The 22,625-nt window shown below is 56.8% G+C and overlaps 1 protein-coding gene and 1 long non-coding RNA gene across 3 annotated transcripts in view, besides 2 other annotated features; one reads left to right on the top strand and one right to left on the bottom strand.

The window, feature by feature from the left end:
* Positions 2,310–2,810: an enhancer, noted in NCBI's record as "H3K4me1 hESC enhancer chr16:86555369-86555869 (GRCh37/hg19 assembly coordinates)". NCBI's record gives its function as "activates a minimal SCP1, AML or CMV promoter by ChIP-STARR-seq in primed H9 embryonic stem cells {active_cell/tissue: H9 hESC(primed)}" and the evidence as "EXISTENCE:reporter gene assay evidence [ECO:0000049][PMID:30033119]".
* On the bottom strand, positions 9,151–14,046 carry FOXF1 (forkhead box F1). The gene is made up of 2 exons (NM_001451.3): positions 13,025–14,046; positions 9,151–11,648 (listed from the first exon to the last, which is right to left on the bottom strand). Exons 1-2 carry the CDS (start codon positions 14,001–14,003, stop codon positions 11,488–11,490), a joined length of 1,140 nt encoding a protein of 379 aa, NP_001442.2. The 5' UTR covers positions 14,004–14,046; the 3' UTR covers positions 9,151–11,487.
* Positions 11,787–12,553: an enhancer, noted in NCBI's record as "H3K27ac-H3K4me1 hESC enhancer chr16:86545626-86546392 (GRCh37/hg19 assembly coordinates)". NCBI's record gives its function as "activates a minimal SCP1, AML or CMV promoter by ChIP-STARR-seq in primed H9 embryonic stem cells {active_cell/tissue: H9 hESC(primed)}" and the evidence as "EXISTENCE:reporter gene assay evidence [ECO:0000049][PMID:30033119]".
* Positions 15,713–22,625, top strand: part of FENDRR (FOXF1 adjacent non-coding developmental regulatory RNA) — a 34,336-nt gene continuing 27,423 nt past the window's right edge. For both annotated transcript variants that reach the window (NR_033925.1, NR_036444.1), the window contains exon 1: positions 15,713–15,918. This is a non-coding gene — a long non-coding RNA (FOXF1 adjacent non-coding developmental regulatory RNA). The remainder of the gene's footprint in view (positions 15,919–22,625) is intronic.

The following is a 22,625-nucleotide window of genomic DNA, read 5'->3' as shown; positions in this document are numbered from 1 at the left end:
GATGCTGCCAGGTACAACAGATAAAGCACCTTTAAGCGTCAGCCATTTAAAAATACGGCCAGTGAACCCAGCGCTCCCCAAGTGTGAGTTGAGAAGGTATGAAAGCGTGTGTCTCTCCCAATTCACATCTTGTTTCTATTAATACTAAAAAGGAGGAAGAAGTCCATAGGAGAGCCCAGTTCTAACTTCTGGAAAAGCATTCTCAGCTTCAAGATGAAGCCCCAACCCCTGGCTCTTTTCCTCTCCCACCTTTCTCAGCTCCTCCCTGCAATCCCACCACACTGCTCAGGAAAACAGATGGGACTCACCTGGCTGCTGGCCCCTGGCATGTTCTTACCATGGCTCTGCACCCTCAGCTGAGCGGCAGGGCTGTGACACAGGTGCCGGCGTTCCCGGAGTCTGTATTGACATTCACAGGGTTTTTTCACATATGGTTTCTATGTGAAGTCACGTCTGAGTGATGTAAATAGTTCCTAATTATTTTTCAGTAAGATAACAGAGAAGAGCAGTGATGGGTGCGGGAAGAAGCACCTGGGAAACCTTCTGCTCTTCATTCAAAGTGTTTGACAAGTCTAGTTCTGCAGTTTGTTGAAACTGATGTTTGCACAGGGTTCCCTCCATGCTGCAGGATGACCGCAGGCAGGCAAAGGTGCAGTGGGACTCCAAAAGCCAGCAGTGTGGGCTGGCCAGAAGACAGCAGCAGAAGAATCGTCACGCCCCCTTAACTAAAGCACCGCTGGGATTTCCACGGGCTCTTTTCTCCGGCTTGTCATTGTGCACAGGTGATTTTTTTTAATTTAATTTTTTTTTTTAGTATTAAATCATTTTTGGAACAATAGGATAAAAACCTTGTATAACATTTGTCTACTCCTAAAAGCAATTTCTAGAATGCACAGGGCAAAGGCTTGGTGTTCCACTTACACAGGCAAATGTGTCTGTTCTTGAGTCTGGCTGCACAGGTTGGATCAGCACCCAGGTTGCCCCGGGGGCCGGCCCCCGGCACACACTCCCAACTCTGTAAGGAGGAAAAATCCTCTCCCCAGTTTTGCCAGTGAAAAGACTGAGGTCCCAAAGGAGGAAGTGACTTTCCCCCTGCCTGGTCCCACAGCCAGTTTTGGCAGAGCTAAGCCAGTAAAGGTAACCTCCCCAAGCCAGTGCCCAGCTGCCTCTGCCATTCTTATTGCTCACAGGGCCACACATCCCAGGCATGGCCTGCCCAGCCTTGGGAGAAGGATTCCGTGACTGTGGCAAAAGGAAAAGGCTTCGCTCAGAAGGCCTAAGGGACTTAGGGCCAGGGTCCCAGACCTAGGCCAGGGTAAAGCCAAGACTTGGGCCCCAGTCTCTCTGCCCCCAGAGCTGTGCCTGCCTCTTTCATTACTTCTTTCTCAACCAGCCAGATGGGCAAGACTGGCGCCTGTCCTCCCAACCCACTGCAGCCCCTCAGCTCTGGCAGAAGCTGCCCCCTGCACTCAGAGGAAGTGTCCTCTGGGCATTTTTGCCCCCGGCCCAGCTCTCAGCCAGTGATCCCGACATACCTCACCCCAGATACCCATGTAGAGAAGGAAATGGATGGAGACACAAGACAGCAAATCAGAAAGGCCGAGAACAGCGGTGGAACAGCATCACCGAGAAATCAGAAAGGCTGAGAACAGCAGCGGAACAGAATCACTGAGAAATCAGAAAGGCCGAGAACAGCTGTGGAACAGAATCACCGAGAAATCAGAAAGGCCGAGAACAGCGGTGGAACAGAATCACCGAGAAATCAGAAAGGCCGAGAACAGCGGCGGAACAGAATCACCGAGAAATCAGAAAGGCCGAGAACAGCGGTGGAACAGAATTACGAAGAAAGGGCCAGTGCAGAGACCACCACAAAGAGTTACATTTTAGCAAAGTGATGGTGGAGAGGATGAAATGTCAGATGAGAACAGCATTTAGAACAGGAATCAGTAACCAGGTGTAGGAATGGTGGTAAATTTAGGGTAAACATATGGGCCCCCCTCTGGCACCCACCACAGACATCAGTAATGATCCCTGTGCTCTTGCTGGCTGATCCGAAGTACCTTCCGCAGCATGTTCAGCCCCAAGACCTGCTGATATGGACAGGAGATGTGAAGCTTTCTGCCTTTTTACCAAAGGAGCAAAAATGAGGATTCCCTCCCCTCCCCTCTTCCTGTCCTCCTGGGAAGGGCTGGGCAGTATCCTCTCCCTGTCCCGCAGGCCCCCAGGAAGCACCTGGCTTGCAGCCGACTCAGTTTCCAAAATTTTAATTGTCACATCCCCTCCCCCCCAGCAAAAATAACCAATCGAGGCTTGCTAAGCCCACTTCCCTCCATCCCGTTCCCTTTATAGATTTATAAAATACATGCTGTATATGTATAAAATATATTAAAGAGGAAATATTAACTATATACATAGATGCACACATTTATATCATTTCCCGTAGTCCTTGCAGTCACTTTTGAGAGGCCTCCTATTTCACAGCCGAGGTTACTGAAATGCAGAGGAGTCAGTTTGCCCACCGTGCCCCTGTGGGCAGGGAGTGAAGCCGCGATTGCAGCGACAGCTGACCACAGGTTGAGCCATCAATCCCACTGTACCTTCCTTCGCTGGGGATTGTCCCCTACTTGCCACCTGAGGTAGGAAGAGGCAGACAAAGCCAGAGGTGTTTCCTGGAAGAGAAAAGCAGTGCCCTGTGGAACGGTGGGGGGCTTCTACCCGATCACACGGCGCACAGTGCAGAGGCGCGTTGGGGCCCAGGGCTGTTCCGACAGAAGCCAGCAGGAGTCCCTATCTTGCACGTACTGAACCCTTCAACTCTGATCCGCACATCACCACCCCGTGACCTGCGGCCAGCCCATCATGCGACAGCCCCACACAACCCTGGTCCTGTTGCTGGAAATAGCCCCATATTTGATTGCATTTGTAGATGGAGAAACTGGGGCATAGAGTATTGGCGGCTTGTTTCCTGGTGCATTGCAGAGCCGCAGGTTGGGGGGATCTGGGCGCCCCTCTTCTGTCCCCCTCTCCCGGCCACCCACCGCCCCAGCAAGTCCCCATGACTTTGCCAATGTCAGTGATCATCCCGTGTTTTTACCAGAGACCATCTGGGCACTTATTCAAGCAAGCAGAGACGCTTAGGGAACCCACACTCCCATTCCCGCGAACACGGCAGCACTTCTTCATGTGAATGGAACCTTTTCTTTTTGATGTCCATAAATCGCAGAGGTCGGAATGGAGCTGACGTGTGACCATGCGGTTTGCGCGTTTTGCACTCTGGATGGTTTGGAAGCAATGAGCTCAGGCCCTGAGTACTGAATTGTGAGCAAATTAAACATCCCTACCCACCTTGCAGGGTGAATTAGCTCACTTAAGCCTTAGAAGAGTCCCAGGAAGCGTGTACTACTGTTTCCCTTTTCCAGATAAGACAGATGTGGCTCAGAAGGGCTCTGTGACTCCCTGCGGTCTCATAGCAGAGTCGGCCACAGCGTCAAGCCCCTCCCTGCTGGGCGGGAGAAGGCTGTCCCCCGGAGAAACACCACGTGCTCATCTCTTGACCACAAGCAGGGCCTCAGGGGTCACGAAGCCACCGCAGCTTGTCGGAACAGAGAGACCATTTAATGGTCGAAGAGTGCCGTGCTGGAGCCAGGCACACCAGGGTTTGCACCGTGTCCTGGCTGTGTGGCCTCTAAGTGCTTGCCCTCTCTGTGCCTGGTTTATTCACTGTAAGCCTTTCACAGGTTATTATTTATTTAAGCCTCACAGCAATGCTATGGGAGCCCTACTCTTACCATCATCCCCACTGTAACGATGGGGAAGCCGAGGTGAGCAGAAGAGAGACACCTGTGCAGGCTCACGAAGTTGAGAAGAGAGGGAGTCGGGACTCGAACCCAGGCCCTGTGACTCCCGTGCTCTGACCCGCTACATCCCTTATCTGCTCCTCCTAGAACGGCGGGGTCCCTGAGGGTGCAGGGAGATGTCTCCTGTGGCCAACGGAGCACAGCTGCCTCACTCAGGAATGGGGTTGGAAGTCATTTTTACTTTCTTCGTTTCACTTTTCTAAAGTTTTTTTTTTTTTATTTGGAATAAGCCACGTCATTTGTGTAATTAGAAAAACACTGCATTAACTGACCCCCGACCAAATAAAATAAAATAAAAAGCCAGCTACGCCTTGACAAAGGTCAAAGGGTCTGAAATAGAGCAATCAGGTTCATTCCTCGCATCCGCGGCTGCCCATCCTGGGGAAGATCAATTTTCCTGATGGGACGGATTTTAAGGGCCCAATAGCATCTGCACGAAGTGGACAGCAGGTGGCGCTGCCGCCGTGTAGAGAAACAGCCGAGCGGGAAATCCCCAGGGTGGGTCAGAGGCTGCCCCGCAGGAAGGACCCTGGTGTCCTGGGTCCTCTTGTTTCCCAAGAGGTTTCCTGACCCTGAGCTCTCTCCCTGGGGCGGGCATCGCAGCGAAGGCCCCTGGGAAGTGAGCCGGGACAGCTGCCCTCCTGTCCCTCCTGTCCTCATGACCTACATTTGCTGTGGCCTCGCCCAGCCTCCCCTGGCTGCCTCCCCTTGCCCTGCCCACTTTGCTGGCCCACCTCCCGCACCTGGACAGAGGCGGCGCAGTCCTCTCTGCTCAGTCAGGCTGGCGACCCTGCCGAGGAGTCACAGCAGAAAGCCAGGGTTGGCCAGTGCTTCCTGCCTCACAGAAACGCCATGCACTAATAGATCACAGCCTGTTTGGGGGGAAGTGTCCGGAACGGAAATGTTGCTCTCCTCTTCCAGGGACATTTGCAGACTCAGCACGCTTCCCCGTGGCCCAGACCCCAGACCTGCCGGGGAACACGGGGTGGGGGGAACCCGGCGTCCGTGCCTGCTCCCTGGAGTGCTGGCGGCAGTTTCCATAAAATGCCTGCGGCGGCTGGTCACAGCACTACAGCACTCTCAAGGGCCCTGCGTGTGGCACTGCTCCTCCCTAGGCTGCCACCCCACAGGCATAGAACATTGTCCAAAATAAGTCAGAGAGGATGCCTGCACCTGGTCCCAGCGACCCTCCGCCCCTGCTCTGCCAGGCTTCCTCTTGGTTGTGTCCCCAGCAAACATCCTGCACTGTGGGATGGGAGAAAGACCACCATAGGGACCATGTAGACACTGCATCTGGGCAGCTTTCTCCCTCTGCTAAGGACATTTGTGGTCATCCTGCCCTTGCTGTCGTTGTTGCTTCAGAGTGTCCACATGACCCCAGGTGTCCTGATGCTGGAAGCAGCTGGATGGTACTGCAGGACATGGCCCTGTGTATTCAGCTGCTGGGTAGTGCATGGCCTGGGCATCTACTCCAATGGGGACCGCACACCTTCCCACCTCAATGCCAGTTGCTGTGCGACCACCACACCCTTGCTCCCTTGCCACTGGGCTGGGACAACACGGCACTGGGCGGTCCGTCTGTGACAACAGGTGTGCATCAACATGTCCGTCGCAAATCTAGTCTAGTGCAGTGGTGGACACGTAGCCAGGGCCCCGTGTGGAGCGGATAGTTCCACGACGGTTCCCCTCTGTCCATCTGTCATTTCATGCTGACAATGTTTTATTTTAAGAGTTTAATTGAGCAATGAACAGTTTGCAAATTGGACAGCCTTCCAGCCAGAATCAGCTCAGAGACCCCCAACTCCCACGATGTTTTATGCTTGCAGACAGCAGGCGTTCCTCTGCCCCTGCGCACCCCCAAAGCACACGAAGACAGAATTGTCAAAGGCCTGGGATTCCTCTCGGCCCCACAACAAGTCAGCGTCCCTTCATGGATGGATGCGACCCCGTCCCTTGTTGTCCCACCCTGCTGGCCACATGGCCCAGGACACTGCCCCTGGGCTCAGCTGCAGAAGACGCCGGAAAAGGGCCTTCCTCCTTAACACAGAGCCCAGAACTCTGACGTACTGGTGCCCAGAAGTTTCCATAGAGTGTGGAGGTGGCCACAGTGCTGTGCAGGCAGCCGCGTCTGAGCACCCACTTTCATCTGAAGTTTTTCTCAGCTGGTCTAAGGGGACCCCAGGAAGCAAAGGAAGCTTCCATGGCAGGCCATGGTGGAACCCGTGAATCACACTTGGAACCCTGAGAGGGGGTAAAGGTCAGGGTCTGAGCTGCGCTGGCTGCTAGGCCAGCTCCCGCCCCACCTGCAAGCGCCCTCCTAGCTCAGCTGGAAGGTAAGAGGGGGTCTGAGAGCATGTGTTTGGAGACCCCGACTCTCTGTGGTCCTGCCCATTGCCAGCTCTCCTCTGGAGGCCGGAAGCCAGCAGAGGCTAGATCATGGATCCCACGTCAACTTTCCTTTTACCACTAGGCCCTGTGGATGGAGGCAAACGGGTGTCCAGGAGCCTTGCGGTGTAGTGGCAAGTGACACAGGATTCAGGGTCAGAAAGTACTGGGTCTGAGTCCAAATTCCACATCTTACCGATCATGTCGGGAGCAGTCAGTGACCCTCCCTGAGCTCAGGTTCTGCCCCCGAAACAAGCAGAGTAACAAGGACAGAGCTGGGGCAGGAGCAAGCGAGGGTGAGCTGGGGTGGACTGGGATGCCCATGTGGGAAGAAGGCCTGCCCCGGCCCGGCGTTCACATGGTATGCCTGCAAATGTGGCCGTGGTGCTTGTTTGCCTGGCCTCCAAGTTCTCTCAACCAGCTGCTGCTACAGACACGTGGGCCTGATCCAGCAGGCGGGCAGGAGGGGGCAGCAGAGGCCGCTCAGAGCAGCCTTGACCAGCGTGGGAGAACAGACCCAAACTAGCGCTCACCCAGGACCACCCAGCTTATCCTTGAACACCGTGGACTGCTGGGTCTCCCCTCCAGAGATTCTAACCAATAGCTGTCAGGGACCCCTCGAATCTGCTGTTTAAACTGACACCCCAAATATTTCTGATGAGGCTGGACTCTGATAGTTACCATCAGAGGTGAAGCCACTGGGCTCAGGGGGCTTCTGATCTCCCACTTCCCCATGGGGTCATCCGCAGGACTCGGATGCCTAGGAGGGGTCAGTGAGGTTGGGGGAGATTCTGGTGGCTGGTGTATGTTGGCATCCCAAGCCCTAACCCACTGTGAAAAGTCTCTCTCCAGCTATGTGAGCCATCTTCCTTATCCCTGGGAAGGGAGGGAAAGTCTGTGAAGATGGGAATTTAGCTGTCCCCACACTGGGATCAGAAGTCCCTGAGCAGAGGGCCTCGTAAAATATGGATATTTGTACCTCTTATGGTTCCCACACCCCCCACGAGACACACACACCACCACCACTCCACACTGGCCCCACTAAATGTCGCGGCGAGAAAAGCCAGGTCTGACTTGGCCACTCCTGTCTGGGTACCAAGGAACCAGGCCACCCCTTTACTCCTTAGAAGCATCTGCCTCATTAACCACGGCCCCCAAAAGCTCCACCAGGACTGTACTATTAGAGATGAGGAAACCAAGGCTCAGAGGTGACTTGTCTTGCTCGGGCTGGGGTGGCCGCAGAGGAGGAACCCCAGCTCCTTTTGAGCTCCTTTGAGCGAAAGCTGCCTGCTGGTGGGTGGCTGGAAGGTCTGGAGCCATGCCTTTGTGGCCACCAACCCCCTCGAGCCCCAAAGAGAAAAGAGAACAGAAAGAGCACACCTCTGTGGCCCAGGCGCCTTCCCATCAGAAGCCCACACCCCAGGCGCCTTCCGGCCGGGCGACTGGCGCTGCTGGCCTGGACGGGCCCTGGGGGTGAGCTCCAGGCGGCGAAGTCCCCCTTGCCTGGGGCTGAGGAGCTCGGAGGCCGCGCCCAGGCGCTTCTGCTGCCCGGGGCTGCAACTAGAAACCCGCTGAGGCTCGGGTGCGTCCAAGGCGTCGGCCCCGCGCGGAGAACCGCGGCGTCCGCTGATGTGTAATCCACACGCAGAAGCCCTGCTCCAAGCAGCTCCTGCTCCAAGCAGCTCCTGCCCCTGCTCCGGGGCTTTATTACAGGGAGGATTTCATGTCAAGGGGCATCTTGACTTCCCTGTTCCAGCGCAAAATCCTTAAAATAGATGAAGACATTGTGAATTAATTCTACGTTATTCCAGGACAAAAACCCCTAAGATAATCGGAGCGATTATGAATTAATTCTACCTAGGACGCCTCTGTGTTAGCTGATCCTAGGGGTCCTTCATGCACGCAGGGCGCATAATTTCGCACCAGACTCAGGAGCCCTTTGCGTTTTAAGCTTGTGACTTGCACATGCTGGGCGCGCTTTTGCGGCGTCCCGCAGCCGTGGGAGCTTCACTCGCGACCCCTGTGCGAGCCCAGGACGCAATGGACCCCGAGGAAGACACAGCCCAGCCGAGCGCAGTCTCGGCGCTGCAGCAGCGGCAGCGCGAAATCTCGGACGCGGGCGCAGAGGCCGTTTCGCTGCGTTATCTGGCCCTTCCGGGCTTGCCTGGAGCCAGGATCTCCTTGCGGGAAGGCTGGACTTTCCCTCTCATTCCCAGGCCGCAAGTCAGGCCGGAAGACCGAGGCCGGTCACCGTCCTCGGGCAATCCGGACCGGTTTTCCTGCACAAGCCCCCCTGGGTGCCTCCCGCCCCGCTAGACCTGGACATGGGTGCGCTGGGAGATCCCGCTGAAGCGAAGGCAAGGAGATGAACAGGAAACCGGGCTTTGCCGCCGCCCTGGACGCTAGTCCAGCGGCGCCAAAGCCACGCGCAACCACGGCGCACGGGGGCCTCTGGCCAGCCAGGGCGCCAAGTGAGTGGGTGCAGGGGCTGGAGACTCCGCAGAAGAAAACCTGGGAGCGCGCAGTTGGGTTTCTCCTAATCAGCCCCTCTTCCCCGGAGCCTCTGCCCTAACTGGGCCGCAGCCTCTGCGGGAGAGAGGAGGGGCTCCCGGCTCCTCTGGCCTGCAGAGGCTGACCGGACGCGAGCGCAGCGTTCCCGCGCTAGGAGGCCTGGGGGCTCTTCTCAGGACTGGTTTTCCGGGCTCTGGTGGGAGGCGGAGAGTGCAGAGAAGACCCTTCGCCCCAGGAGGACCGCCTTCTCCGCCTGCTGCGAACCTGCTCTCGGAGCGCAGGGCCAGGCGCGTGCGCCCGGCAGAGCCTGGCCTGACGCTTCGGCCCCCCGGAGACCCCAAGGGATGGAGTCGCCGGCCTTTTCCTGTCCCCTTTATCTCGATTTTATAGACAGCTGTTAGTTGGGGACACTAATTGCCCAGGCGAGTTTATTGATAATTTTGATGTAACAGAGCACCGGAGAAATTACCCCCACGTCCAAAATGTCAACTCTGAGAAGAACCAGGTTCAGAGACTCACGACCCCACGACGCAAGACACTGCGGTGGGTCTGGAAGGACCGCACCAACAATGTGACTTACTGTGTTTGTTTTTCTCGGTAGCCGGGAACTGGAATAGAAAGAGGGTGGTCAGTGGAAGGTACAAGTGTTAAAAAATATTTTTCCCCCAGAGAGGACGAACTGTGACTTAGGAGATAAATGTTACAGGATTGGAAAGGTGCCTGTCACCTGGCCCACCAAGCGCCCTTTTGCCTCATTTAGATTTTGCTTGATTTTCTATCGGGGAAAACCAAGAACAAGGCACCAAAAAGCCAAAACAAAACAAGACAAACCAACAACTACAAAAAAACCTTAAAGTTGATTCACGATTTATAACAGCTACAGCAAGAGAACAAGAAAGTCGGAAACCCAAAGTAAAACTCTCATTGGTCTTGTAGTGGCAAAAAAATATATATTATGTACATGGACACGTATACATATATGTACATATATGTATATACATATATATGTATATCCATATGTATGTGCACATATATGGTTTAATTGGTGTTCCCTAGGGGAAGGAGGTCTATAGTGTTCTTTAAAAGTTTATTTCTTTAAAACGATCAATGACATTTAGAGGGGCAAAGGGCTCTTCTTAAAAAACAGAAGCCAAGAAAAATAGTTCCTCTTGTCCAGCGTTTACTTCAAAGTGGAATGAAGAGTGAAAAGAGGAGGATTTGCCAAAAAAGAAAAAAGTACTCAGAATCACCCAGATTGTAAATTTTTAAGCGTCTAGAGATCCAAAGCCTGTTTTTTCTTTTTTCCCCCCTCTATCTTTGGGAGTCTGGAAGGTATTCTACAATCTCAGTCCCAATAAAATACTCATGCAATTTTATTTCTAGTTGATACAATTTTAAAGGCCATGTACAAATGTTATACATTTTTATTTTTGTTCTTTTTTTAGGAAAAAATACACAAAAGGCAAAACATCCTCAAATGGTCCTTTTATACAGTGCAGAAGGAAATTTCAAATTTCAAATACGTGTCACAAATGCTGCACTCTAGCAGCCAAAATACAAAAAAAAAAAAGGAGGGTAGTCCTTCATATTATATATATATTTATATAAAACATATGGAAATTTGTTTTTACACAGATCGGTCTTTGTTTCAAATTTACAATGGATATCTAAAAAAAATTCTACACGGCAAATATTGCCAACAAAGTTACACCATTAATACTGATAAACGGAGGAGCCTACGCGGTGTTTTGATTATTAGGGAAAGAAAGTAGAATAAATAAACAGGAGCCTTGCTATAGTTTTTAAAAGTGCCTTAACCTTTCTGCGTCCCCGCAATCCTGAATCCGCGCGGTCACCGGGCCGTCCTAGTCCCTGCGTCGCGCTGTGTTCGGCTCGTTCTCGGACCAGAAAGTTTACAGTAGAGGTTGGGAGACAGAAAAATACCCACTGAAAAAGTCTAAATAAAATTCAAGACAAAACATAACAGAAGAGGCTGAAGCGAAGGAAGAGGAGGAACATGGAAGGGGACGGAGGCGGACGCCCGGACGGCCGCTTGCTTCGTGGCTCCTTTGACTTTCTGTTTAAAGACGGACAGTGGCTTCCGAAATGCAAGTTGTTCGCACAAAGATCCACCTGTGGTCCACGGAGGAGACTTCGGAGGTGGGGAGGGAGATCGGGAGGGAGATCTGAGCTCTTGTCACTTCCCGCTCCCTGCAAAAGACGGCTCTAAAGGGAGACTTGCGCATTCCAAGACATTCTTTCAAAAAAAAAATAAAAAATAAAAAGATAAATACTCAACCAAAAAATAAAAGTATTTGATAATGATTGGTCTCACATGTTTGCTTTTCTTCTAAAAATTTTCCCCCACTTCTGCCATTGGCCGGAAGGAGGGGGGACCTCAGCAGAATTCCTGTGTGGGTGCGGGGGCTTTCCCCTGCACAGCACCGTCTCAGGCGGGTTCAACAGGATCAAAAACTTTTATTTACCGATGGCTGCAGTCAGATCAGACCCACCACTAACATTTCTTAACAATTTTGAAGGAGTGAGGAAGGAGGTGCCAACCGCAGCGCTGTGTCTTTGCATTGGGGACTCCTTGCCAAAAACTCCGGTTGGGGAGAGGTGGAACCCTTTTCTTCTGCCGACGGTTATACCTCGAGAAGAAAGCAGTTTCTTGTGCCGGTCCAGGGTCCCTGTGACCCGCCTGCCTGCACCAGGAGGGCCTGCGGCGGCAGCCTCACATCACGCAAGGCTTGATGTCTTGGTAGGTGACCTGCTGGTGGTAGTAGGAGCCCCCGCCGGCCGAGTGCATGGAAGAGGACGCCATGGCGTTGAAAGAGAAGACAAACTCCTTTCGGTCACACATGCTGGGCGACTGCGAGTGATACCGCGGGATGCCTGCAAGGCGAGGCGACAGGAGGGGTTGGGGGAGCAGAAGAGTTAGCCACGGTGGCTCAGAGTTCAGGCAGAGGAGCAGTGCTCCCGTGGGGCGCACAGGGCCTGTCAGCCTGGCTCCAGAGCACGGCCGCCTCCCCGCTCTCCTCCCCGAGTCCCGGCCTTCCAGCTGCGCACCCAAGGAAAAGACTCCAGAACACTTGCCACGGCCTGCCTGCCTGCCTGCCTGCCTGCCTGCTGCGTGCCTGTCCAGCCTCGGACACCGTGCAGGGGCCCAGGGCTTCCAGAGCCATAGGGGAAGTGGTGAGGGAGACCAAGTGGAGGGCCCCTAACGCCCATGGCCGTCACCGCCAGGGCAGCCACCACCACCCCCAACCTCAGAGGCTACGACTGCCGGCGGGGTTGAAGGAGAGGCCAGTGCAGGGCCAGCGCCGGGCCAGCAGCAGGGGTGAGAAGAAGCTTCTCCAGAGAACAGGCCCCGGAGCCGGGGAGTCCCCCGCAGAGAGGCTGCCTAAGGCCTCCAGGCCTGGCTCCTGCCTCCTGGGGCTGCTGACAGCTGACCCTGGACTGGCCCTGGCAAGCTCACTCCAGCTTTTTCCAGAGCTGGGCCTGCAGGCTGCGGGGGGCCTGGGGCAGAATCAGGAGGCGAGGCTGCTGCATCTCCCTTGGCAGATGCTTCTGCATGTTCGGGGTATTGGGGTATCAGGGGTGTTGGGGGTGTGGGGACCTGAAAACTTGGATCCTAAAAAACAAGGAGCCCCCATGGCCCGGTCTGCAGCTCTGACCCTCCGGGGCCTGGCCACGGCACCCTCCTGCCTCAGTCACCACAAAATGCCCCTGGACTCAGCTGTGGGTCTGCCAGGTCTGGTCCCCTGAAAGGCCGGGGCTGAGCCTCTGAGCGCTGGCCCAGCGGCTTTGGGCCTAACACCTTCCGTTCCGCCCAGCCCCAGGCAGAGGCAGCCCTCCAGGCAGCCTGAGGGCCACCACCAGGGAGGGACAGCCATCTGGCCAGCGCTGGGAGCCTTGGGTCCATCCCAGGATCTTTCCAAGCTGTGAGGGGACTTAAGGGACACAAAAGGACTTAGGGCACTGGGGTCTGGGACATCTGGCTCAGGACCAGCCTACCTGGTCAGGCCTGGAGCAGCTGGCAGCTGGAGTTCGAACAGAAAGAGAAACAGATTGGCCCAAACTAGGGTCAAGAGCGGTAGTCACTCTTCGAAGGGGGAGAGGTGGGGCCAAGAGACACCTTGGGGAGCTGGTGCCTCCCCTCAGCCTTGGGGTTCCGACCACAGAAGTGGAGGGGCTCGCCCCAGCTGGGTCCCGCTGCCACTCAGACTCGACTTCCCGGGGACCAGGGCGCCCTCGGCCTCCCCACTCACCTTGCAGCTCGGCTGGGGCGTTGTGGCTGTTCTGGTGCAGATACGGCTGCTCCAGGGAGTGCGTGGAGAGGCTGCCGGACAGGGGGTTGGCCGCGGGGTTACAGGGGGACAGGGGCTGCTGCTTGATATAAGAGGCGCCGCTGTTGAGCGCCGCGGACGCCGAGGGCGGCCAGGCCGCCGCCGAGCCCGAGTAGACGGCGTGCGGCTCCATGACCCCACCGGCGCCGGTGGGCAGCAGCGGGGAGGCGGGCACCGAGCTGTCGTGGTGCGGGTACTCGCCGGCCGCCGCGCCGCCGCAGCCGCCCATGTACGAGTGGCCGCCGTTGGAAGGCAGGTGGGGCACCGAGTGGCTGGGCAGGGCCATGCCGTCCACGTTGCCCGGCAAGTGGCCGTTCATCATGCCCAGGCCGCCCTCCAGCGCCAGGCTGTTGGGCGGGCACGAGAGGCCGCCGGCCGAGCCCTGGAAGCCGTAGGTGTCCGGGAGGTGGTTGAAGCCGAGCCCGTTCATCATGCTGTACATGGGCTTGAGCGCCTGGCATTTCCTTCGGAAGCCGCGCGGCCGCCGCCGAAAGGAGCCCTCCTCGAACATGAACTCGCTGGCCGGGTCGATGGTCCAGTAGTGGCCCTTGCCGGGCCGCCCAAGGCCCTTGGGTAGCTTGATGAAGCACTCGTTGAGCGAGAGGTTGTGGCGCACGGAGTTCTTCCAGCCCTGGTAGGAGCCCCGGAAGAAGGGGAAGCGGCTCTGCAGGAACTGGTAGATCTCGCTCAGCGTCAGGCGCTTGGTGGGTGAACTCTGGATGGCCATGACGATGAGCGCGATGTAGGAATAGGGCGGCTTCTCCGGGCGCCGGATGCCGGCGTTGGTCTTCTTGGCCTTGGACGGGCCGGACGACGCGGGGTCCATGGCCGCGCCGCCTCCCCCGCCGCCGCCGCCGCCGCCGCCGTGCGGTGGCTGCTGCTTCTCGGGCGCCGAAGACATCGGGTGGCTGCTGCCGCCGCCGCCGCTGCCGCCGCTGCTCTGCGCCGCGGACGGGCCGGGAGGAGGAGGAGGAGGAGGAGGAAGAGGACGACGGGGGGGAGGAGGGCGAAGGGGAGGGGGCTGCGCGCGCGGGGCTGGCTGCACCTCTGCCGTCATCGGCGGCCACTTCTCCCGAGCGAGCCGCGGCGCGCCCGCCCCCGCGCTCCCGCCCGCCCTCCCCGAGGAGCTGCTGGATCCGCCGGCGGTTGGCTCAGAGCCCCTCTCTCTCCAACTCCCGCCTCCCCCACCTCTCTCCTCCCTCTTTCTTTCTCGCCCTCCCACAAGGAAAGGAGCCGAGCTGAGGCCGAGGGCAGCCCGGGCGAAGGCCGTGAGGAAGCTACCCCCGCCGGTATTTTTTGGGGGGAGGCACCACCTCCAGGTCTTACGGCCGTGCGCCCCAGCCGGGAGCAGCCCTGAGTCCCCGCCGCCCGCGGCGCTCGGCTCCGAGATTCCGGGCGAGGCAGCCTTCACTCCATCTCCGCTCGGCTGCGTCTCGCGGGTCGGCCTAAGACCCTCCCGGAGTTCCCTCCCTCCGTCCCTGCCCCCCTCGGGCCCCCGCGTTGGTGGGCGCTTAAAGAGCCCCCACTCTCGCCGCCCCGCGGCCGCCAGCAGAATCCGCCCCGCCTCCACCAACCTGGCGAGCAAGTGTTAATGCGCCCTCCGCCCGCGGTTCAGCCCCGGTGCGCGCTGGACCCCGCCTTCCCCGCCCGGGCGGCGCGGCGGGAAACGCTCCCTGGGCCGGGGCCTTCCCCGACGCGCACAGCCCTGTAGCAAATCGCAAGTGCGGCGGCCTCCCGGTCGTGACCATCGCAGGCACAGCCGGCTCGACTCCGGTCCTCGCGGCCGGCCGGCTAAGTTCCCGCGAGGGACCGCCTACCCACTCTCCCCGCCCCGGGAAGAACTGCGCCGCTCCCGGGATTTTTCGGACTCGCCCAGCAGCTTGCGAGCGGGCGGGCAGCCGCCGGGGCAGAGCGCAGGCGGAAAACGAAAGCGCAGCACGAGTCGCGGCCGCTTTGTCTCGGGCGCCGCGGGCCTGACGGGGGCGAGTGAGAACCCGCTGGCCCAGAGGCGACCCAGACCGCACAGGCCCCTGAATAAGCGGCGTGCTCAGTCACTCACCCGTGCGCGCACACCCTCGCGCTCTTGTCCACACATTAGCACACACATACATGTCTTGATGCACATGCAAACCCGGTAAATTACGCAAACAGACGTGTAAACACACCCATGCGTGTGTGCACACTCATATGCAGAGGGCGCTCAGGCATGTGCGCACCCACTAATGCACTCGTTGACACGGAAGCTTAAGGCCCACAGGAGCTTAAGTTCGCACTCACTCCCACTCACGCGTACACACGCCACGCTCGGATCTGAACTCACACGTAGTTCAGTTGCCCTCCCCCACCCCCAACACACACTGAAAACCCGCCTATTTGGCCCCGCGGCCCCGTTTTCAAAGCGCAGGTTCCGATTTCCCGAGAGATGGCAAAGGCCCTGGCAGGAAGTTTACAGGGTTTAACGTAAACAAGTTCTGGGGGATTCTTTAATAATAATAATAGAGAATTCCGCGTGCGCAGGGCGGGAGGGGGGAGTTGGCCTAATGCCCCTGTGGGCTCGGCCTGCCGCCGCCGCGGGGCCTCTGACACTGCGCGCCAGGCCAGGTTCCTGAGAGCAGACAGCGCGGGCTGGGAGCGCCGGCAAGGGCGGCCCTCGCGCACCTGGCTGCCAGCCCGCAGGGGGCTCGCACGCAGACCTGCCCTTGCCACCTCAGCGCTCGGGTGCGGGCTGGGGGCGGTGGAGCCACGAAAGGTGGTGCCGAGAGCGGAGCGCAGGACAGCGCAGGAGCCCCGGCGCATCGCGGCGCGCACAGACCCAGGTGAGTGCTGCTCTCGCAGCGACTGCTGGCCGGGCGCGGCCTCTCCCTCCAGGGTTCCGAGTTGAGAAGAGGGGGGCGAGGGGTGTTTTCGCGGGTCATCGCGAAGAGCCTAGAGGCCAAGCCCCAGCGCGAGCTGGGGCGAGAGGCGTGTGCCGGGCTCGCAGCACGGCCCGCGGCGCGGCGCGTTCAAAGCCTACCCGCCTCTCGGTTTTCTCCGGACTCCTTGTCTCCCGCTAACTACCCGCCCCCACCTTCCTGGCTCGGACGCCTTCATTTTCGGCGGGAGACGCCTGTCGCCTTCGGGGCGCCTGGCACGTCGGTGAGAGGAGCTGGGGGGCTCGCCGGCGCAGCCTGCCGGGCAGTCGCCGCCTCCTCCGCCAGATCTGCGCTCGCGGGAGAAGAGAGCCGCCTTCCCGCGCTGCCCTTCCGCTGGCCTCTCTGGGTCTCCGCGTGCAGACAGCCTGGCCCGCCTAGGGAAAGAATGAGTGTGGGACGTGACCCGTAGTGTGTGGTTGTGCATTCACGCAGGTAAACGCTCTCTGGCAGACCCGCTACCACTTCACACAACCAGCTCAGCCTCCGCGCACACAGACACGCTCCGCACCGCCCACGGCCTCAAACACCCTTCCCAGCGACCCTCACACAGCTCAGGCGCTCCCAACCCTTGGACCAACACACAGGCCTGCCCAACGGGGAGGGCACACTTTGGTTTAAGTGCACACTTCATGCACGCCCACATGTTCTCCACTGCGCGTTCGCCCACGCATAGCCAGGCGCCACGCGCAAATAATCATAGGTACCGCCGCTCCATACGTGCGCACGCGTCCACGAACACAAGCATTCTCACATTCTCTCCCAACTTTTGTGTGTGTGTGTGTGGCAAATGGCAGTTGCAGATGAGGAGACCCTGGCCTCCGGAGGAAAGTTCTGTTCCCAGGAAGGGGTCGCTACTGCCGACTGCCAGAGCACATCTGGCCCTTAGCAGAGGTGAGCAGAGAAGGCTGCACAGCTCTTAAGCCAGCTAGGGGTGCAGGGCGCACGCTGCGGCTCGCTGAAAGTGGAAATAGCATCTCCCTTCCCCTCGCCCCTCCCCCACTCATGGGGCGCCTTCAAAGTGAGCGGGTCCCTAGAGCATGAAGTTGGGGAGCCCTTTCCCAGCAGACTCCTTCACTCCTGGGCCCTCTTCAGTTGGGGAAGGGAAGCCGCAGGTCCCATCGTTGGCTAACCCGGAGATCCATTTTTCCCTCCTTTCCACCCTTCTTTCTGCCCTTTCACCGGCTCTGATAGCAAACCAGACCTTACAGAACAGCCAGTCACGGAGCCCAGCGAAAGAGCCGGCCCAGTAGGCCTGGGAGTCTCAGGAAGGCCAAAGATGGAGGCTCTCCCCAACTGCTCATCTCTACTGCTGGGTGTGTGTAGAAGTGGGGGCGTGAGAGAGGAGGCGAATGAGCTCCCAGCTCTGTAATTTGGAGGGGACCCCCTGAATTCTGGGGAAAACCACAGCCGTAGCAAGAAGGGCTTTCCTTCATGCTCAGAGACTTCATTCTCAGCTCTTACAATGTCCCTGAGAGGTCTCCCTTGATCCTACATTTTTAGGGTGGAGAAACTGAGGCTCAGCATGGACTTGAATCTCTTATCAGCCAGCACTGAGAGGTGAACACTCTCCATCTCCCCTCTCTACGTCCAAGGACAAAATTTCCTGGCGTTTCACTCTCCCATGTGCCTCTGTGTAGGCGGGGAGTGGAGAGAATGGGGCTTAGAAATGCCTCTGCCATCATTACACAGCCCTGGCTTCCCAGGGCCAAGGGGACAGAGAGCCCCCGTTGGGGAACTGATGGTGATAAAATAGCAATGACAACTACGAATACTAGATAATAACAGGCTCATCCACTGCTGCCCAGGCACCAGGCGCTGCTCCTCACTCGATGAACTGCCCTTGTCTGCTCCTAACCTTCCTCTTGGCTGTCAATCCTTTGAAAATTAGTCCGACCTGCCCCCGCCCCCAGAAGGTGCATATTTGTGACATTCGTAGAATGATTTTGAAGGTTTCGCCAAATGTCTGGAGCCCATCTGTGAACCTGTGAGGCACCAACCATGAACTCAGGACACTGGTTAAGTGTCCCTAAGAGACTTGTGTAATATTCACCGATGCCCCTACCAAGTCAGTATAATTTCCCTCCTCATTCACAGTTGGAGCTCTGCGAGGTCACTCCAGGTCCTGGGTCACCCTGCAAAGCCAGTATCCAAACCTGGCCTGATTGCAGAACCAGGGCGTTAAGTGTCCTGACCACGGGGTGAGGCTCAGCGGTGCTCAGGGCAGAGGGGCCCCGCTGCCGCGAACCCCAAAGGCAGGGGGATTTGAACTCGCCCCACCATGTAAGGATGATGCATAAGCTCTTTGCACCTTAGTTTCTTTATCTGAAAAATGGAACTCATCATGGTTCCTATTTCTTGGGGTCGTACAGAGGGTTGGACAAGACCATGCAGGGAAGGCTTAGGTTGTACAAACAGAAACAAAAACCCCAGGGGCTCAGCTCCAGGGATGGAGGAGAAAATGCAGACAGGGACAGAGATCGCGGGCAGCCTTTTGCTCTTGGATTAAAATCCATGAAGACCGGCCCCCTCCCACCCCAAAACAAATCTGCGCCCCATCTCTGGCCCCAGGAATCCTGAAACTGGCCGAGCAGGGCGGGGGTGGGTGTGTAAAAACGGACACGACTGCAACGTCTCCCACTCCCCAGGCCCAAGGTATTTTTACTAGCTAATTGCTTAAGCGAAGCCGCCCGGGCCGAGAGCGCGCCGTAACCCGAGCGGGGAACCAGATCCCGCTCCGAGGGAGCCCAGGCCGGCCGCGCGGGCGGGGCAGGGGGCCGCCGACCACCCACCGCGAGGGCAGCCGCCCCGCCGGCCGCCGCCGCCCCCGCTCCGCATTAACGCCGGGCCCGCGCCCTCCTCGCCCGCCCCCGCTCCCTCCAACCCCCCGCGAGGCGAGGTTCAAACGACGCCTCAAGGTAGGGCGGCCAGCCAGGACCCGACGCGGGAGCTGGGCGGGAGGGAAGCGGCCTGTCCTCGGGGCTTCGGAAGGGAGGGAAGGAGGACCCGGCCGGGGGAAACGAAACTTCACGGCTGCCGGAGGAGCGCGGGAGGGATATTTGTGGGTGAAAGTGCAGCCCTGGGGACTAGGGGACTGTGGGGAAATATCAAGCCCAGCGGGTGGATTATAAGAAGATCTGTGTACGGATACCTGAGATACTTCTCGCACGCTCTAAGTGTGCACGCGTCATGCTGCTGGCGTGCAGAGGACTGTGGCCCGCACAGCCAGCACAGGGAAGGGGAGAACCAAAGTCTCCCTTGGCAGAAGAGTGTGAGGTGGGCGTCCAGTGTGAGGGGCTGGGCACGCAGAACAGTGAGAACTGTGCACATATATCAGCCTCTGTGCGGGACATTCCAGAAGGATGTCGGTACCATGCGGTGGTTTCACGTGTAATGAATATTTTAAGATGTGAGCAATGTAACTTGTTATGGAAGCCGAATATTTGAGTACAAAATGAGGTGCTCTCTACACAGAATATGAGGAAATGTGTGCACAGCATAATAGTGTTGTGTACACAGATTCTTTCAGATGTGTGCAGGATAGCATGTTACACAGACGTTACATGTTCCTCTGGGAGGTGTGCAGCAAATAACGTATTCCAGACACGGAGTATTGCAGGCTCTGTGAGCATAAAACCTGGGATACATGTAGACTGCGTGTGCCCTGCAATGGGTTCCATGCAGGGTGCATTTAGAGTTGTATACAGTGCAGTGCCTGAGGAAACAGAACTCCGTGGGAGACCGGTGGATGCAAAATGAATTCTGGCTACAGCACGTTGCAAGGACAGGGTCCACGTGGTGACCAGTACTCTCTCCGCCCAAGCGTCAGGCCATGTGTGTACAGTAGCGCACGGCTATGCGAAGGGAAGACTGTCCCAAGGTTTCCACGCCGCTTGACACGCAGTCATAGTAAGAAGGCAATAATGCAGTGACCACACAGAAATCGGTTTCGGAACCCTGCCTGTGCCCTGGCTAGGCGCCTCAAGGTCATCACCAGCTCACAAAATCCCACTGTAATGCTGATTCTCTTTTGATCTCAGGTGCCAGGGAAGCGAAATGACGCTCTGACTTTATTTTTGTAGCCATCGAGTGACATTTACCGGCTTTGTGGCTCTGTGAGGGGTGTGGTGGCAGCTCTTGGTGTGGTGTGGAGATGCGGGGACAGGTGTGTTGGGTTCCCAGTGGGCCTGTGAGAGGCTGTGTGCCCAGGGCACGGAGCCACCTATCTGCAGTGGGCAGAGGGAAGACGCCGGCTCAGGCGACACCTGCGGAACCTGCAGCAGAAGAGGCCCCAAATCCCGGGGTCCCCCAGTGTCTGGGGGCAATGGCACTATCAGGAGAGCTCCTGACCCAAGCCACACATATTAGGGGTGCTGTCTTCACTTGTGCCTGCTGCTGCCTGATCAATCTCAAACCAAGGTACTCAGTCAGGAGCAAGTAGCAAGCCAGGCTCTGGGCTCCTCCCCAGACTCTTCATGAAGGTACCACAAGGTGAGGAGGAGAGAAAGGTGGCACGCGCTGGTCTACCCAGCCCTGTCACACCCACTTAGCACAGATGGGACTGGGAGCCCACCTGTGGGGACCATCAAGGCCAACTTCGGGGAGCAGCTGTGACGAGGGCGATCCCTGGTCCCAGACCCTGGCAGTGAATCTCCTCTTAGCTGAACAATATAGAGACGTTCATTAGTTTGGTCATGAAAAAAAAAAAAGGAAAAAATAAAAGAAAAAAAAAAGAAAAAGGATAAAAAGAAAGGAAAAGAAAATAAAAGGAAAAAAGAAAATAAAAGGAAAAATGTAAAAGAAAAAAGTCTGGTGCATGTGCTGCCGCAGCCCGAGCTCACCCCTTCCACCGGCCCTTTTACCCAAATGTACGCATTTTCCATGATGTTCTTCAAGGAAGTATTTGACAACATTGCAGCCCAGGAATCTCCAGCCCTCTTCCCGGTGAGATTTTCAGAAGATTTCTTGCATCTGCAGTACACGTGGCTCTCAGAAACAGAAAGCGCCTGAGACAGTGAGCTTCCCGGCGCTCCCTTGCTGGACGCCCGGCCCATCTGCAGCTCTGTCTTCCCACAGGGGCAGTGCCTGAAGCATCCCGATAGATTTTTAATCTCTGCTGCATGGACAGTTCTGCCCGGAAAGATGGTGATACTATTTCCCTTACAGCATGAATGTGTGCGTATGGGGCATGTAAGTTGTGGGGGGGGTGTTGAAGGGGCTCCCAGAATTTGTTTCTGAGCAAAGTGTCCACATTAAAGGAAATTGATGCCAAAAAGGGGCAGCAGAGAAAGACAGGGAGCGGGCCTGTGACTCAGTTGCTCTCTGTGGAATTATAAGTCCTTCTGAGACCGGGAGGGAGCAAGGCAACAAAGAGAAAAGAGATGGGAATGTGAATAGGTTTCTAAAAGACCAACCAAAAGGAAAACAAATTAAATTTCAGTGGGCAGGTGTTGTGTAGTTTCCGATTTGAAAGAGAGAGGTGCGATAGGCGTGCATGTTCACCCCACAGGGAAGAGGGAATCAGAAGCCAGGGAGACCCCTGGAGATGGGGAGCATGGAAACAGAGGTGAAAGGGGAACGCGTTCAGGTTTGTTTCTTAATCAAAGGTAGCAATTTGCTCCCAGAAACCTGCTAATGTGGACACTCAACATGTGCCCATTGGTCTCCATTTATGACTTGTAATGCCCTGTTTATTCCCGCTTAGAGGATGTTGAAAATGATGCAAACAAGTTTTTGTTTTGTTTTATTTTGTTTTAAGGGAGAAAACAAAATCCACTCAACCAAGTGATGCCAGGCTTGGGAAGGGAGGAAGGGGCTTTACTGGCTCAAAGATGTTGCCCACAATCCAGGGTTCCCTGAGAAAATGAACGCGCCTCCCTCGTCTCACACCCTCCTCCAAGGCTAGTTTGGGTCCTTTTTGTCCCAGCCGGGTTGTAGTTCAGCCACTCCAGGAACCCCTTGAAGGATTTACACTTGGACGTGTGCAGACATGCACAGACCCACCGGCCTGTTTTGTTTGTTTGTTTTGCAAAATCGATTGGAGAGCCAGATCCTGCGTGCCTGGCGTGGGCAAAGGTAACACAGCCCCTGGCAAGTCAGTAAAGAAGAAAAGTTCAGGGTGGGAGCCAGGTGGGGTGCACGCAGAACAGAGGCACAGGGAGACAGAGGAACCCCGGCCCACCCCAGAGAGAGACCGAGGATATTCCCTCATCAGAATTCAGAGAATCTAGAGGCTCAGGGACAGGGGCGAGGCCCCAAGAGACATATACAAAGATTGTGGGAGAATCGGGGACTCAGCACAGTGAGGGAGGTGTGGATGGAAGGCAAAGACGTGCAGGGAGGCAGCAACACACACACATGCACAGGCACATACACACAACACGTGCACACACACACCTCACACAGACAGAGCACACAAATACACACAGAAAACAAATACACACACAGGCACACACAGAACACACACAGGACACACAAATGCACACACACGCACACACAGAGAACACACAAATGCACACACAGAGAGCGCACAATACAAGCACACGCATACACAGATTCCATTCACATGGATGGATTTCCTTGGTTGGCTGCAGGGAAGTACCCTGAGGAAGAAG

Source organism: Homo sapiens, chromosome 16 (assembly GCF_000001405.40).
Source record: "Homo sapiens chromosome 16, GRCh38.p14 Primary Assembly".
NCBI lineage: Eukaryota > Metazoa > Chordata > Mammalia > Primates > Hominidae > Homo > Homo sapiens.
Note: the sequence above shows the minus strand (reverse complement) of the source record. Positions and strands in the feature narration are given on the sequence as shown.